We start from the raw sequence: 13718 nt of genomic DNA, 5'->3' as shown, positions 1-13718 counted from the left end.
TAAAAATATTAAAAAAAAATTAGCCAGGCCTGGTGGCGGGCGCCTGTAGTCCCAGCTACTCGAAGAGGCTGAGGCAGGAGAATGGCTGAACCCGGGAAGCGGAGCTTGCAGTGAGCTGAGATCGTGCCACTGCACTCCAGCCTGGGCGACAGAGCGAGACTCGTCTCAAAAAAAAAAAAAATTGAAACATAATAGCAAACAAAACTATAAAATATACCCAAGAACAAAACCAATGAAAGTTGCTAGCACAGTCACATCATCCTGGAGAGGGAGACTTCCTGAGGGCTGATCAACTGTCTAATCACTATTTAGAGAGTGGGACTGGACTCTACCACAACACATCGACCCTCCCTCTGAACTATGCATAAACCACCCTGTCAAAGTTCAGCCTGCACATGACCCAAGAGGAAATCATGGCTTGTTTCCCCAGTGACACTCTGGACCTGATCAAAACCTACGCCTCCCAGGCCCAGTTCTGAATCATAGGAAATCCAACCCAAACTGTTCGTTCCTCAGAGTGCATACAGGAAACATATCCAACCAGCAGAGAATCAGGATTCATCACTTTTCGGGAACCGGGTAAAATGTTAAGTAGAGAAAATTTACCTATTCTCTAAGGAAGGGATTTCAAGGAACTCTAAAAAGCTTTTGACAGAGGCCAAGTGTGGTGGCTCATGCTTGTAATCCCAGCTCTTTGGGAGGCTGAGGCAGGGTGGCTTAAGGTCAGGAGTTCAAGACCAGCCTGGCCAACATGGCCAAACCTTGTCTCTACTAAAAATACAAAAATTAGCCAGGCATGGTGGTGGACACCTAAAATCCCAGCTACTACTTGGGAGGCTGAGGCATGAGAATTGCTTGAACCAGGAGGCAGAGACTGCAGTGAGCCAAGATCATGCCACTGCACTCCAGCCTGGGTGACAAAGCAAGACTGTCTCAAAACAAAACAAAACAAAAAAACAGTTTTTGACAGAGAACTAACTCTAAGTGTGGAAATAAGTACATAGGCCTTTTACATTATTACTGAATCGAACCAAGAGAAAAAAATACTTTGGGCCAGGCGTGGTGGTTCACGCCTGTAATCCCAGCACTTTGGGAGGTGGAGGCAGGCAGATCACTTGAGGTCAGTAGTTCAAGACCAGCCAGGCCAACATGGTGAAACCCCGTCTCTACTCAAAATACAAAAATTAGCCGGGTACAGTGGTGTGTGCCTATAGTCCCAGCTACTCGGGAGGCTGAGGCACAAGAATCGCTTGAACCCAGGAGGTGGAGATTGCAGTGAGCCGAGATTGCGCCACTGTACTCCAGAACAGAACTAGAATCCATCTCAAAAAGACAAAAAAATTTGGGGCTGGGTGTGGTGGCTCACGCCTATAATCCCAGGACTTTGGGAGGCTGAGGCGGGTGGATCACTTGAGGCCAGGAGTTCGAGACCACCCTGGCCAACATGGCAAAACCCCATCTCTACTAAAAATACAAAAAATTTAGGCAGGTGTGGTGGTGCACATCTGTAGTCCCAGCTACTAGGGAGGCTGAGGCACAAGAATCACTTGAACCCCAAAGGCAGAGGTTGCAGTGAGCCAAGATCATGCCACTGCACTCCAGCGTGGGGGACAGAGTGAGATGATCTCAAAAAAGAAAAAATATTTTGAAATATGTTTATATTAATAGGAAATTCCCAATTAATACAGTCCTCAATATTTCAGAATTTGTGATTGTTTATGGTTTGGTTTCAAGATTGTCTTTTTACTCTCCAGACGAAAGTAGTTTCCTAAGAATATTAACTTAGGATTGATGATTTGAAGCACCACAGAAACATCTGTTTACATTCAGATAATTAATATGCTAATTTTTATCTATTAAATTAAGCAGGTTACGTAAGGACTTTTCAAAATAATACTTCATTAGCCTGATAATAATCAATATATATAGTTGAAGTAAGAAAATGGACATCTGTTGTAAGACATTCTTCAATTTAAGACTTTTACTAAATCAAACCAGTTTTCATACCTTAATTTCAATTATGGAGGTTTTACCTGTCAACAAACCAAAACAAAACAAAACAAAAAATCCTCTTTTGAGACAGAAAACAAACATTTCCATTCTTACCTTTGATGGTCTCCATTCCCAACTATCACCTATCTGTTGTGAATGTTTAATGAATTCTGCACAATAACGTTGGAATGTTTTTTCTCCAATGAACTCATCTTCTTCCATGTTAAATGATAACTGCAATACAAAAACTAAGTATTAGCATCAACTTTAGAATTATATTGAAAGGAATTCTGCCAATTGATTTATTTCTGTCAATAAACCAAAATTTGGGATGTAGAATGGCCTCAAGGCCACTAAAAAATGGTTTTGGCCAGGCGTGGTGGCTCACATCTGTAATCCCAGCAATTTGGGAGGCCAAAGCAGGAGGACAGCTTGAACCCAGGAGTTCGAGACCAGCCTGGTCAACACAGCAAGACTCTGTCTATATACAAACTAAAATACAGTTAGCCAGGCATAGTGGTGTGCACCTGTCGTCTCATCTACTCAGGAGGCTGAGGCAGGAGGATCACTTGAGACCAGGAGTTCAAGACTGCAGTTAGCTAGGATCATGCCACTCTACTCCAGCCTGGGCGACAGAGTGATACCCCATCTCAAAAAAAATAAAAAAGTATTTTTGTTTTTTCTATCTTTCTCACCTATCCCCATTTTTTTGTTGTTTTTATTTTTGTTGTTGTTGTTATTGTTGTTTTTGAGATGAAGACTCGCTCTGTCATCCAGGCTGGAGTGCAATGGCATGATCCCGGCTCACTGCAATCTTCATCTTCCAGGTTCAAGTGATTGTCCCACCTCAGCCTCTCGAGGAGCGGGGATTACAGTTGCAAGCCACCACGCTGGCTAATTTTTGTATTCTTAGTAAAGACAGGGTTCCACCATGTTGGCCAGGCTGGTCCTAAACTCTTGACCTCAAGCGATCCACCAGCCTCAGCTTCCCAGAGTGCTGAGATTACAGGCATGAGCCACAGTGCCCAGCTTGTTTTTGTTTTTTTATTCCCGTTTCTATATCTTTGGTGCTTAGCATAGTAAACACTCTAGATGCCTTTGTTCAATTGAATTAAAATCATATAAACTGCAAGGATTTTAAACCCCTGTTTGGCTTCAAGGCCAATGATCTGTCTATACTAGATAATTCCTAAACCAGTGTCATTTCTGATTATTCAAATTCAGTATAATCTATGTAAGAGTTTGTTCATTCATCCAACAAATACATAGTGAATATCTATTAAGTAGCAGGCACTGTGCATAAGTAAAGGTTAGGTATACAAAAATGAAAAAATATATAGTCCTTGCCTTGTAAGAGCTCATATTCTAACAAAGGGAGATAAAAAACACAAATAATTACAGTAGAAACTCTCTTATCCAACCTCCATCTAACCAACTTGCCAGATTAATCGACACTGACTCATGTCTACAGCATGCTGATCACGAAGCGCCTCTGCTCCCATCAGTTAACTGTGTGTTCACAAACCTTATTCTCCTATCATAAATATATACTGTAATTAAACGTTAAACAAACCAAACATCAAAGTAAAAAAGAGGGCTGGGCGCGGTGGCTCACCCAGCACTTTGGGAGGCTGAGGCGGGCGGATTACGAGGTCAGGAGATCCAGACCATCCTGGCTAACACGGTGAAACCCCATCTCTACTAAAAATACAAAAAATTAGGCAGGCGTGGCCAGGCGCGGTGGCTCACGCCTGTAATCCCAGCACTTTGGGGAGGCCGAGGCAGGCGGATCACAAGGTCAGGAGATGGAGACCAACCTGGCTAACACAGTGAAACCCCGTCGCTACTAAAAAATACAAAAAATTAGCCAGGCGTGGTGGCGGGCGCCTGTAGTCCCAGCTACTCGAGAGGCTGAGGCAGGAGAATGGCGGGAACCCGGGAGGCGGAGCTTGCAGTGAGCCGAGATCGCGCCACTGCACTACAGCCTGGGCGACAGAGCGACACTCCGTCTCAGAAAAAAAGTAAAAAAGACAACTGTTATTTCTATAAGCAAATGCCTTGGAAAGACTCGATAAAAGTCAGTCTCTCTAAGAAAAATAAACTGCTGTTGAACTAGGTATGGACAATACAACTGAAAAGATTGGTGAGGGACAGGGGAGAGAAAAGATTCCAAGCTTTCTGCCTTTAGGTGGTGGTGCATTGAGTAAGACAGAGGTCTCTGGAGGAAGAGCAGGTTTGGGAAGAGAGTTGGGTTTAATTTGGCCATATTGAGTTTGAATTTCAAATGCCCGTGGAATGTCCAAGTAAAGGGGTCTAGCAGGCATTTTGAGGTGTGCCTTGAACTCAGAAGGAAAGAGAAATCCGGGCTGGCAATACCGATTCTATATCAACGTTACATAGATGGTAACAGAACCCATTTCATCAATCAGAGAGAATGCAAAACTAGACTAGCAAGAGAAGACTAATATGGTGTAGCCAGAGGAAATTTTTCCAACTGTATGATGATCCTGACATATACTGAAAGATACCAAATCAAAGAAAAATTAACTTTCATTCATAAAGAACACTAATATACTTAGTAATATTTTTAAAACTCCAACAAACTCTTACTTAGTAACAAAACTGAACAAAGTAGCCTAAGCCCTCCAGTTACTTGAGATTTACTTAACTATTGAAAATACTTAAACATAAAATTTCATTCAATAGCCATAGTTTATCTAATTAACAGCACTGTGCTACAAGCAAGATGACTGAACATCAAAACACTAATTGATATTTGGTTGAATACTTTTAAAATTATCTAAGGACTAGGCTTTGCTGAAGGATGCTACATACAATAATACAAACACTTATGGCTTGATTACAAAATTAGGAAGTATGGTATATTAAAAATATATCCATCTCAACTGGATTCATCATAATGTACCATAATGAAATATCATGGAATAATTATTGTTTTTTTGATCAAGCAAGAATATTTCAACTCAAAAATGTAAATATAATTCAATCAACATTTTTATACATAGTTTTCAAGTTGTAATACTTTCTGGTCCTCTACCAAATTCATAAACTAGTAGAGGCAGAAATCTGAATCTCAGAACTTCCTATGAGATGGATGAAAATATGGCTAAAAATGGAAATAACCACAACTGTGGCTTATTGAGCAATAATGGCAAGAATAATCCTTATTTTGCAAATGAAAAATCTTAGATATGTGAACTGCCTATTCTTCCAGACTTAAGCTATCTTAAACTAAATTCAGACTACAGGTGACAACAGTCACTCAAGTGAACTCTCAGTAAAAAGATGAATTTCAATTCTCATCTGATCCTAAACAATGAATCTCTCGCCCTCTCCCTCTCCCTCTCCCTCTCCCCACGGTCTCCCTCTGATGCTGAGCCGAAGCTGGACTGTACTGCTGCCATCTCAGCTCACTGCAACCTCCCTGCCTGATTCTCCTGCCTCAGCCTGCGGAGTGCCTGCGATTGCAGGCGCGCGCCGCCAGGCCTGACTGGTTTTCGTATTTTTTTGGTGGAGACGGGGTTTCGCTGTGTTGGCCGGGCTGGTCTCCAGCTCCTAACCGCGAGTGATCCGCCAGCCTCGGCCTCCCGAGGTGCCGGGATTGCAGACGGAGTCTGGTTCATTCAGTGCTCAATGGTGCCCAGGCTGGAGTGCAGTGGCGTGATCTCGGCTCGCTGCAGCCTCCACCTCCCAGCCGCCTGCCTTGGCCTCCCAAAGTGCCGAGATTGCAGCCTCTGCCTGGCTGCCACCCCGTCTGGAAAGTGAGGAGCGTCTCTGCCCGGCCGCCATCCCATCTAGGAAGTGAGGAGCGCCTCTTCCCGGCCGCCATCCCATCTAGGAAGTGAGGAGTGTCTCTGCCCGGCCGCCCATAGTCTGAGATGTGGGGAGCGCCTCTGCCCCGCTGCCCCGTCTGGGATGTGAGGAGCGTCTCTGCCTGGCCACGACCCCGTCTGGGAGGTGAGGAGCGTCTCTGCCTGGCCGCCCCATCTGAGAAGTGAGGAGACCCTCCGCCCAGCAGCCGCCCTGTCTGAGAAGTGAGAAGCCCCTACGCCCGGCAGCCACCCCATCTGGGAAGTGAGGAGCGTCTCCGCCCGGCAGCCACCCCGTCCGGGAGGGAGGTGGGAGGGTCAGCCCCCCCGCCCGGCCAGCCGCCCCGTCCGGGGAGGTGAGGGGCGCCTCTGCCCGGCCGCCCCTACTGGGAAGTGAGGAGCCCCTCTGCCCGGCCAGCGGCCCCATCCGGGAGGGAGGTGGGGGGGGTCAGCCCCCCGCCCGGCCAGCTGCCCCGTCCGGGAGGGAGGTGGGGGGGGTCAGACCCCCGCCCGGCCAGCCACCCCGTCCGGGAGGGAGGTGGGGGAGTCAGCCCCCCGCCTGGCCAGCCACCCCGTCCGGGAGGTGAGGGGCACCTCTGCCCGGCCGCCCCTACTGGGAAGTGAGGAGCCCCTCTGCCCAGTCAGCTGCCCCGTCCGGGAAGGAGGTGGGGGGGTCAGCCCCCCGCCCAGCCAGCCACCCCGTCCAGGAGGGAGGTGGGGGGGGGGGTCAGCCCCCAGCCCGGCCAGTCGCCCCGTCCGGGAGGGAGGTGGGGGGATCAGTCCCCCGCCCGGCCAGCCGCCCCGTCCAGGAGGTGAGGGGCACCTCTGTCCGGCCGCCCCTACTGGGAAGTGAGGAGCCCCTCTGCCTGGCCACCACCCCGTCTGGGAGGTGTACCCAACAGCTCATTGAGAATGGGCCATGATGACAATGGCGGTTTTGTGGAATAGAAAGGGGGGAAAGGTGGGGAAAAGACTGAGAAATGGGATGGTTGCCGTGTCTGTGTAGAAAGAGGTAGACATGGGAGACTTTTCATTTTGTTCTGTACTAAGAAAAATTCTTATCCTGTTGATCTGTGACCCTACCCCCAACCCTGTGCTCTCTGAAACATGTGCTGTGTCCACTCGGGGTTAAATGGATTAAGGGCGGTGCAAGATGTGCTTTGTTAAACAGATGCTTGAGGGCAGCATGCTCATTAAGAGTCATCACCACTCCCTAATCTCAAGTAATCAGGGACACAAACACTGCGGAAGGCCGCAGGGTCCTCTGCCTAGGAAAACCAGAGACCTTTGTTCACTTGTTTATCTGCTGACCTTCCCTCCACTATTGTCCTATGACCCTGCCAAATCCCCCTCTGCGAGAAACACCCAAGAATGATCAATAAAAATAAATAAATAAATAAAAGGGGAAAAAAAAAAAACAATGAATCTCTCATTTCTAGTTGTAAGTAGGTTAGAAATGAGTCAGCGCTCCTCATGTCATAAAGTATAAGTTGTTTTGTTTTGTTTTGTTTTTTGGAGACGGAATCGCCCAGGCAGTGGCATGATATCGGTTCACTACAACCTCCACCTCCCGAGTTCAAGCGATTCTCCTGACTCAGCATCCCAAGTAGCTGGGACTACAGGCACACACCACCACACCAGGCTGAATTTTTGTATTTTAGTAGAGATGGGGTTTCACTGTGTTGCCCAGGCTGGTTGCGAACTCCTGAGCTCAGGCAATCCACCCACCACCCCACCTCGGCCTCCCAAAGTACTAGGATTATAGGCGTGAGCCACCACGCCTGGCATAAGTTGTTAATACATCCATTTTGCTTGAGTCTTACTCTGGCTGAAGAGTTGTGTTGTTTTGTTTTTGTTTTTGTTTTGTGACATTCAATCAAAACCTTTTTCTAACTGCTTTAGCAGAGACTAAAGATTGGAAAAATAGAATAATTTTCTGTTTTTCCAAGTGAGGGTAGTCTTTCCAAACTGTAAGTTAGCCCTTAGACTAGAAGGATAGAAGAAGCTTATTCTGCTGCTGTTCAAATATATCTTTCCAGAAAAGCAGCCTTAGTGAATTCTAACACTGTATATAATCATTGTTTAAATGATCCTTTTTAATTGAAAACAATTTTTTCACTACCACTCTCCATACTGTTTAATGTGATTTTTAATCTAATGTGTGTAGAACTAATTCTTTGTTATTGTTTTAGTTGGAGACGTTGATTTGATGAATCTATAAATCAATGTACATCAAAGTCATAATAGGACTAAAACACTATAAGAAATATAACTGAATTTCCCAGAACTTAAGATCATTTACAAAAATGTGATTACCACAGAACATGCGATGCATACATTTAAACATTAAAAATCATTTTTGACTAATAAAGTAGGCAATTTCCTGAATACTTGTCCCTCCTAGCAACAATTCCACATTATTTATAACTCTAAGTGTAGACTCTTTTTTAAAAAACATGCACTATCAGGTAGGAGAGTTAAACATCAACCCACTACTTTTATGGCAATTTGGCTTGAATTGATTCAGATTAATTTAATCACTTACCTAGCAAGGTCCTTAGGCAGTGGTCCTCAAATTTTAGACAGCAAAGAAGCACCCACAGTGCAAATTCAAATGTGGAATCCTAGGCCTTGGCCAGAAAAATAACCTGATTCTGAAGACCCAAAATAATTACTTTTAATTAGCACCTGGGATACTTTCAAAGGGAATCATGCTAAAAGATTAGCATGATCCCTAGACAAAAGATGAATCACTTTGACAGGGCTGGTAAAAGACCTGGATTTCAAGACATTTGGCAGCCTGGGTGGGACACAGAAGGCATGGCCCTGGGCAATCCAATAAAATAGCACAGAGACACATCAGAAGAGAAGTCGTATCAGTCCTAACAACAGATGACCAGCAGGCTCAATTCTCCCTCCTTGCCTTCCCATTGGAATACATATTCCAAATCAAAGTTTAAATGAGAGGCAACACTGTACCTGGCTGGAAATGAGGAATCTCTGTTGGTAGCTGAGGCTTGCTCTGACCTCTCTATCACTAGGTCAGGGGAAAGAGGGTCATTTCACTCTCTCCCATTCCCTTCAGAGAAACAGATCCTGAGTTGCCCCTCCCCTCCTGGTTTCTAGCTCCACTGGTAATTCTCTTTCAAGGCAGTTCTCTCCCAGTAGTGCAGTGTGCATGGCCAGATGTGGAAGGTAAAGCCCTGAGGTGCACTGAGTACTGTGCAGCGAGCGACAGGTAGCTGCAGGAACAGAATGAGCTCTCAGCATAGTACAGTCTCACCACTAACACCCCAAAAAACTAAAAAAAAAAAAACTATAAATTATTTCAAATCACACAAAAACACTCCCCTCATTATAGTTACAGGACCGAAAGATTCAACACTAGGAAAGGAAGACCTCTCCTAAGTATAGAAAATGATCTATCCTTCATAAATTTCGTTGTACCCATTCATCTGCTTTCCAAGCTAACATAAAGAGGAAGATTCCTCCAGCTTCCAAGTGTAGTGAGAGAGACGAAGGAACACTTGGTCACTCTGACCAGTCAACATGCCCCTCTTTTGTCAAGGTAAGTAAACCAAAAACATTAATAACAACACAAGACCTTTAAGAAGCTCTTGCATAAGAAAAGAGGGGAACTACCATAAACAGGAAGAGGGAAAGCTTGCTCCTGTAATGGACTTACACTAGGAATATGGAAATCAAACCGAGGAATTATCTACTCTATGTTCCCAATTTTAAAAAGAAAAAGAGAAAGGGAAAGACCTCTAAAAGCAAGAGATGAGGAAGGAAAAACAGCTGAGATGAAAAAGGAAACTGGATAAGAAAAAACTGGAAGGAAATTCAAACACGTAACAGTAGAGATAAAAATTCTACATTCAAGGCAACAGAGAGATGTATAGAAGCTGGAAAAAAATCACATTCGTGTTTCAGTGTATAAGCACATAAGATCCTCTCCAAACACACAAAAGAAAAAAGACCATGATGAAAATAATGCATATTGTTTGATGGAAGGACAAAGAACACAGGTCCAACCTACAAATAACTGGAATTTCTGAACTACAATCATAAGCAAATGTACAACTGAAAAACTGTTCTAAGATGGAAAAAAAAAAAGATTTAAAATATTTACCTATAAATTGAAAGAATTCACCATGTTTCTAAAAAAAACAAAGCTGCTGGAAAGAAACTTATGCCTAAACATAGCCTACAGGAATATCTTAATTTAAAGACTAGAAAGAAAAAAAGATGCAGGCAAAAAAAAAAAAAAAAAGGTTTACCTACAATTAGCAAAAATCAGGGTAGCCTCTGCCATCTTCACCCACTGCAACAAATGCCAGATGATAGAGCAATGTCTGCAATGTCTGGGGATTTGATTTACACTTCGTATCTTAGCATCTATAACAGATAGGCAAACAGTAAACATTTTTTTTTTGAGACGGAGTGTCGCTCTGTTGCCCAGGCTGGAGTGCAGCGGTGCTATCTCGGCTCACTGCAAGCTCCGCCTCCCGAGTTCACGCCATTCTCCTGCCTCAGCCTCCCGAGTAGCTAGGACTACAGGGGCCCGCCACCACGCCCAGCTAATTTTTTGTATTTTTTAGTAGAGACAGGGTTTCACCGTGTTAGCCAGGATGGTCTCGATCTCCTGACCTCGTGATCCGTCCATCTCGGCCTCTGGAAGTGCTGGGATTACAGGTGTGAGCCACCGTGCCCAGCCAGTAAACATTTTTTTTTAAGTTGTAAATGAATAAAAGAAAAATTCAGACCAGGCACCGTGGCTCACGCCTGTAATCCCAGCACTTTGGGAAGCTGAGACAGGAGAATCACCTGAGGTCAGGAGTTCAAGACCAGCCTGGCAAACATGGCAAAATCCCTTCTCTACTAAAAATACAAAAATTAGCCAGGTGCAGTGATGTGCACCTGTAGTCCCAGCTACTCCAGAGGCTGAGGCAGGAGAATCACTTAAACCCAGGAGGCGAAAGTTGCAGTGAGCTAAGATTGTGCCACTGCACTCCAGCCTGGGCGACAAAGCGAGACTCCATCTTAAAAAAAAAAAGAAAAATTCAAAAATTTGAATGGACTTATTCTATACACCTCTTCTCATTTATAGTACCTTTCTTCAACTTTCAGGCCTGTTCACTTCTTGGACCTTTCTTACACAAACTGATGTACACTTTGCAAGGCCGAGGTAGGAGGATCACTTGAGGCTAGGAATTCAAGGTTGCAGTGAGCTATGACCGTGACACTGCCCTTTAGCCTGGGAGACAGCAAGATCCTGTCTCTAAAACAAACAAACAACAACAAAAAAAACCACAGATCTATATGACATCCAATCTTTCTGATACCAGTATCATTACTTTTATCAAAAGATAATTTTTTAATAAAACTCTGCAAGCACATAAGAAAAAATGTTCCACCACTGATGACAATTTGAGCTGATCCACAGCTCAAACTCTCTTGCTGCCTTTGAACAGTGGGTAGTAGGACTAGTACAACAAACTCTAGTCAGCACATATGCCAAGTATCCAGAATTAGGAAATAAGGAGATAATGGGGTATCCTTGGCCAAAAGTATCCAAAAAATAAGAAGAGACAGAAAGGAGCAGTGGCTCATGCCTGTAATCCCAGCATTTTGGGAGGCCAAGGTGGATGGATCACCTGAGGTCAGGAGTTTGAGACCAGCCTGACCAACATGGTGAAACCCCATCTCTACTAAAAATACTAAAATTAGCTGGGCGTGGTGGCGGGCACATGTAATCCCAGCTACTTGGGAGGCTGAGGCAGGAGAATTGCATGAACCTGGGAGGCAGAGGTTGCAATGAGCTGAGATCATGCCATTGCACTCCAGCTTGGGCGACAGAGCAAGACTCCGCCTCAAAAAAAAAGACCAACACAATATCAGAAGCTACAGAATCAGTGCCAGTCTGAATACAGATTACAGAGCAAAGTGTCTTTAAAATATACTACCAAGTGCCATATTTTTATTTTGGAAAATAAAAAAAGGAAATGGTTGGACATTTTTGTAATGAAAGGCACATTCCCTTTAAATTTTTCTTCTTGCAAAAGTCTTTGTTCAGAGATGAGACTAATGTGCCTTCTATTTCCACAAGTTTTTCATTCATTCACTCAGTACCTACAATACCCTAGTGCTTGCTGTGAGTGTCCTCCTAGAAAAGAATGTCAAACTTCCTGGCAAAACTGGGGAAGACTCCAAAACTTGGAGTTCTGAACACATGAATTCAATTCTTGAAGAAATGAATTTTGAAATTTGAGTAAGGGCCAACCAGGTGGAGACAAAGTCACTCCAAAAAGATTGAGGAGCTCCTGCAAAGACAGGGTCTGAAAAGAATGCAAGGTTTAAAAATAAAACAAATGTCAGTGGATGGAGCATAGCTCGGGTGGAGAAGAGTATGGGCAAATAAGGTCTAATGGTTCCCAACTTTATGGGGAACCCGCTCTTCAAGGGGCTGCTTGGAAATAAATGGGATCATATTGGATTGTTAAAAAGAAGTTAGAGTTTGCCATTGCCATTTAGTGCTGAGGGACCAGGTAAAATAAACATCCTACAATGTACAGGACAATCCCACACAGTGAAGAGTTGTCTGTAAAAATGCCAGTAGAGCTCCCTTTGAGAAATACTGGGAAGTAGGTAAGGAATTAACAAAGTCTAGAGAATTTAACTCTAGGGCCTCAGCGTATCCTTTAAAATCTGTGATCACAATCTCCATTTCACTCACTAAATATTTACTAGGTGCTAAAAGATAAACCAAGGCACATTAAAATTTTAAAGGATTTATTTGAGGTCAGGCAAAGTAATCCTAGCACTTCGGGAGGACAAGGCAGGTGGATTGCCTGAGCTCAGGAATTCAAGACCAGCCTGGGCAAATGGTGAGATCCCGCCTCTACAAAAAAATACAAAAATTAGCCTGGCATAGTGGTGCATGCCTGTAGTCCCAGCTACTTGGGAGGCTGAGGTGGGAGGATAGCTGGAGCCCAGGAAATTGAGGCTGCAGTGAGCCATAACTGCACTACTGCCCTCCAGCCTGGGCGACACAACAAGATACTGTCTCAAAAAACAAAAACAAGAAAATGTTTATTTAAGCAGACAATGGTTAACCCATTTATGCTGGAGGTTGCAAATTTTTTTTGTGAAAAATCAGACCTTGGCGATGACCATGAGCAGGATATAAATAACTCCCACAAGCTTAGCGTTCCAATAATGGAACACTAGGCATATTAATGAATTGGTCAGCTCCAGAATGCAAGCAATATGGGGCTGCACCAAAAGGACACAGTTAGAAGGCTTTTGAAGAGTGAACGGCAGAAGCAAGGCCAAGAAAATCTGTGATTGGTCAAAGTGGAGTAGCCTTACTTGGATCATTCCAGTAAAAGTCAGTGGTTAGAGGTTAGTTGATGGTTTCTGATTGGTTAAGCTAAAGTTTCATTTTCCTAGAATACAACCATTTACACTGAGTTTGGTGTAAGTCTGTTTATGTAGGAACCCAGGGCACTGGAGCTTCCTCAGGCAATGGCCTCCCAATTAATTATTTTAACACAGGAAGCTGTTTTTGCTGGGCAATAAATATGTTTCCTTCTTTCCTTTGACCACCATGAAGCTTGGAACTTTGTGGCCTACCTTTAATAACTGTACAACAGGCCGGGCGCAGTGGCTCACGCCTGTAATCCCAGCACTTTGGGAGGCCGAGGCGGGCGGATCACGAGGTCAGGAGATCGAGACCATCTTGGCTAACACGGTGAAACCCCGTCTCTACTAAAAATACAAAAAAAAAAAAAAATTAGCCGGGCAAGGTGGCGGGCGCCTGTACTCCCAGCTACTCGGGAGGCTGAGGCAGGAGAATGGCGTGAACTCGGGGGCCGGAGCCTGCAGTGAGCCGAG

General features: G+C 44.4%; 1 protein-coding gene across 12 annotated transcripts in view, besides 4 other annotated features; it reads right to left on the bottom strand.

The window, feature by feature from the left end:
- ATG10 (autophagy related 10) overlaps positions 1-13718 on the bottom strand; it is a 284111-nt gene that overhangs the window by 266349 nt on the left and 4044 nt on the right. For 4 of the 12 annotated variants that reach the window (XM_047417800.1, XM_047417803.1, NM_031482.5 and 1 more), the window contains exon 2: positions 2107-2226. In XM_047417800.1, coding sequence (XP_047273756.1) covers positions 2107-2214 — 108 coding nt within the window. In that variant the 5' untranslated portion in view covers positions 2215-2226. Of the gene's footprint in view, positions 1-2106; positions 2227-8367; positions 8878-10106; positions 10286-10935; positions 11457-13457; positions 13593-13718 lie in introns of those variants that run through there. The other 8 variants (NM_001131028.2, XM_017009944.2, XM_047417798.1 and 5 more) reach the window with 5 other exon arrangements.
- Positions 6370-6925: an enhancer, noted in NCBI's record as "NANOG-H3K27ac hESC enhancer chr5:81278679-81279234 (GRCh37/hg19 assembly coordinates)". NCBI's record gives its function as "activates a minimal SCP1, AML or CMV promoter by ChIP-STARR-seq in naive H9 embryonic stem cells {active_cell/tissue: H9 hESC(naive)}" and the evidence as "EXISTENCE:reporter gene assay evidence [ECO:0000049][PMID:30033119]".
- Positions 6926-7483: an enhancer, noted in NCBI's record as "NANOG-H3K27ac hESC enhancer chr5:81278121-81278678 (GRCh37/hg19 assembly coordinates)". NCBI's record gives its function as "activates a minimal SCP1, AML or CMV promoter by ChIP-STARR-seq in naive H9 embryonic stem cells {active_cell/tissue: H9 hESC(naive)}" and the evidence as "EXISTENCE:reporter gene assay evidence [ECO:0000049][PMID:30033119]".
- Positions 8781-9075: a silencer, noted in NCBI's record as "tiled region #409; K562 Repressive non-DNase unmatched - State 15:Elon". NCBI's record gives its function as "represses a minimal TATA promoter and a strong SV40 promoter by Sharpr-MPRA in K562 cells {active_cell/tissue: K562}" and the evidence as "EXISTENCE:reporter gene assay evidence [ECO:0000049][PMID:27701403]".
- Positions 9154-9711: an enhancer, noted in NCBI's record as "OCT4-NANOG-H3K27ac hESC enhancer chr5:81275893-81276450 (GRCh37/hg19 assembly coordinates)". NCBI's record gives its function as "activates a minimal SCP1, AML or CMV promoter by ChIP-STARR-seq in naive H9 embryonic stem cells {active_cell/tissue: H9 hESC(naive)}" and the evidence as "EXISTENCE:reporter gene assay evidence [ECO:0000049][PMID:30033119]".

The sequence above is a fragment of the Homo sapiens genome, chromosome 5 (assembly GCF_000001405.40).
Source record: "Homo sapiens chromosome 5, GRCh38.p14 Primary Assembly".
NCBI lineage: Eukaryota > Metazoa > Chordata > Mammalia > Primates > Hominidae > Homo > Homo sapiens.
This window is presented reverse-complemented; position numbering and strand designations above follow the sequence as displayed.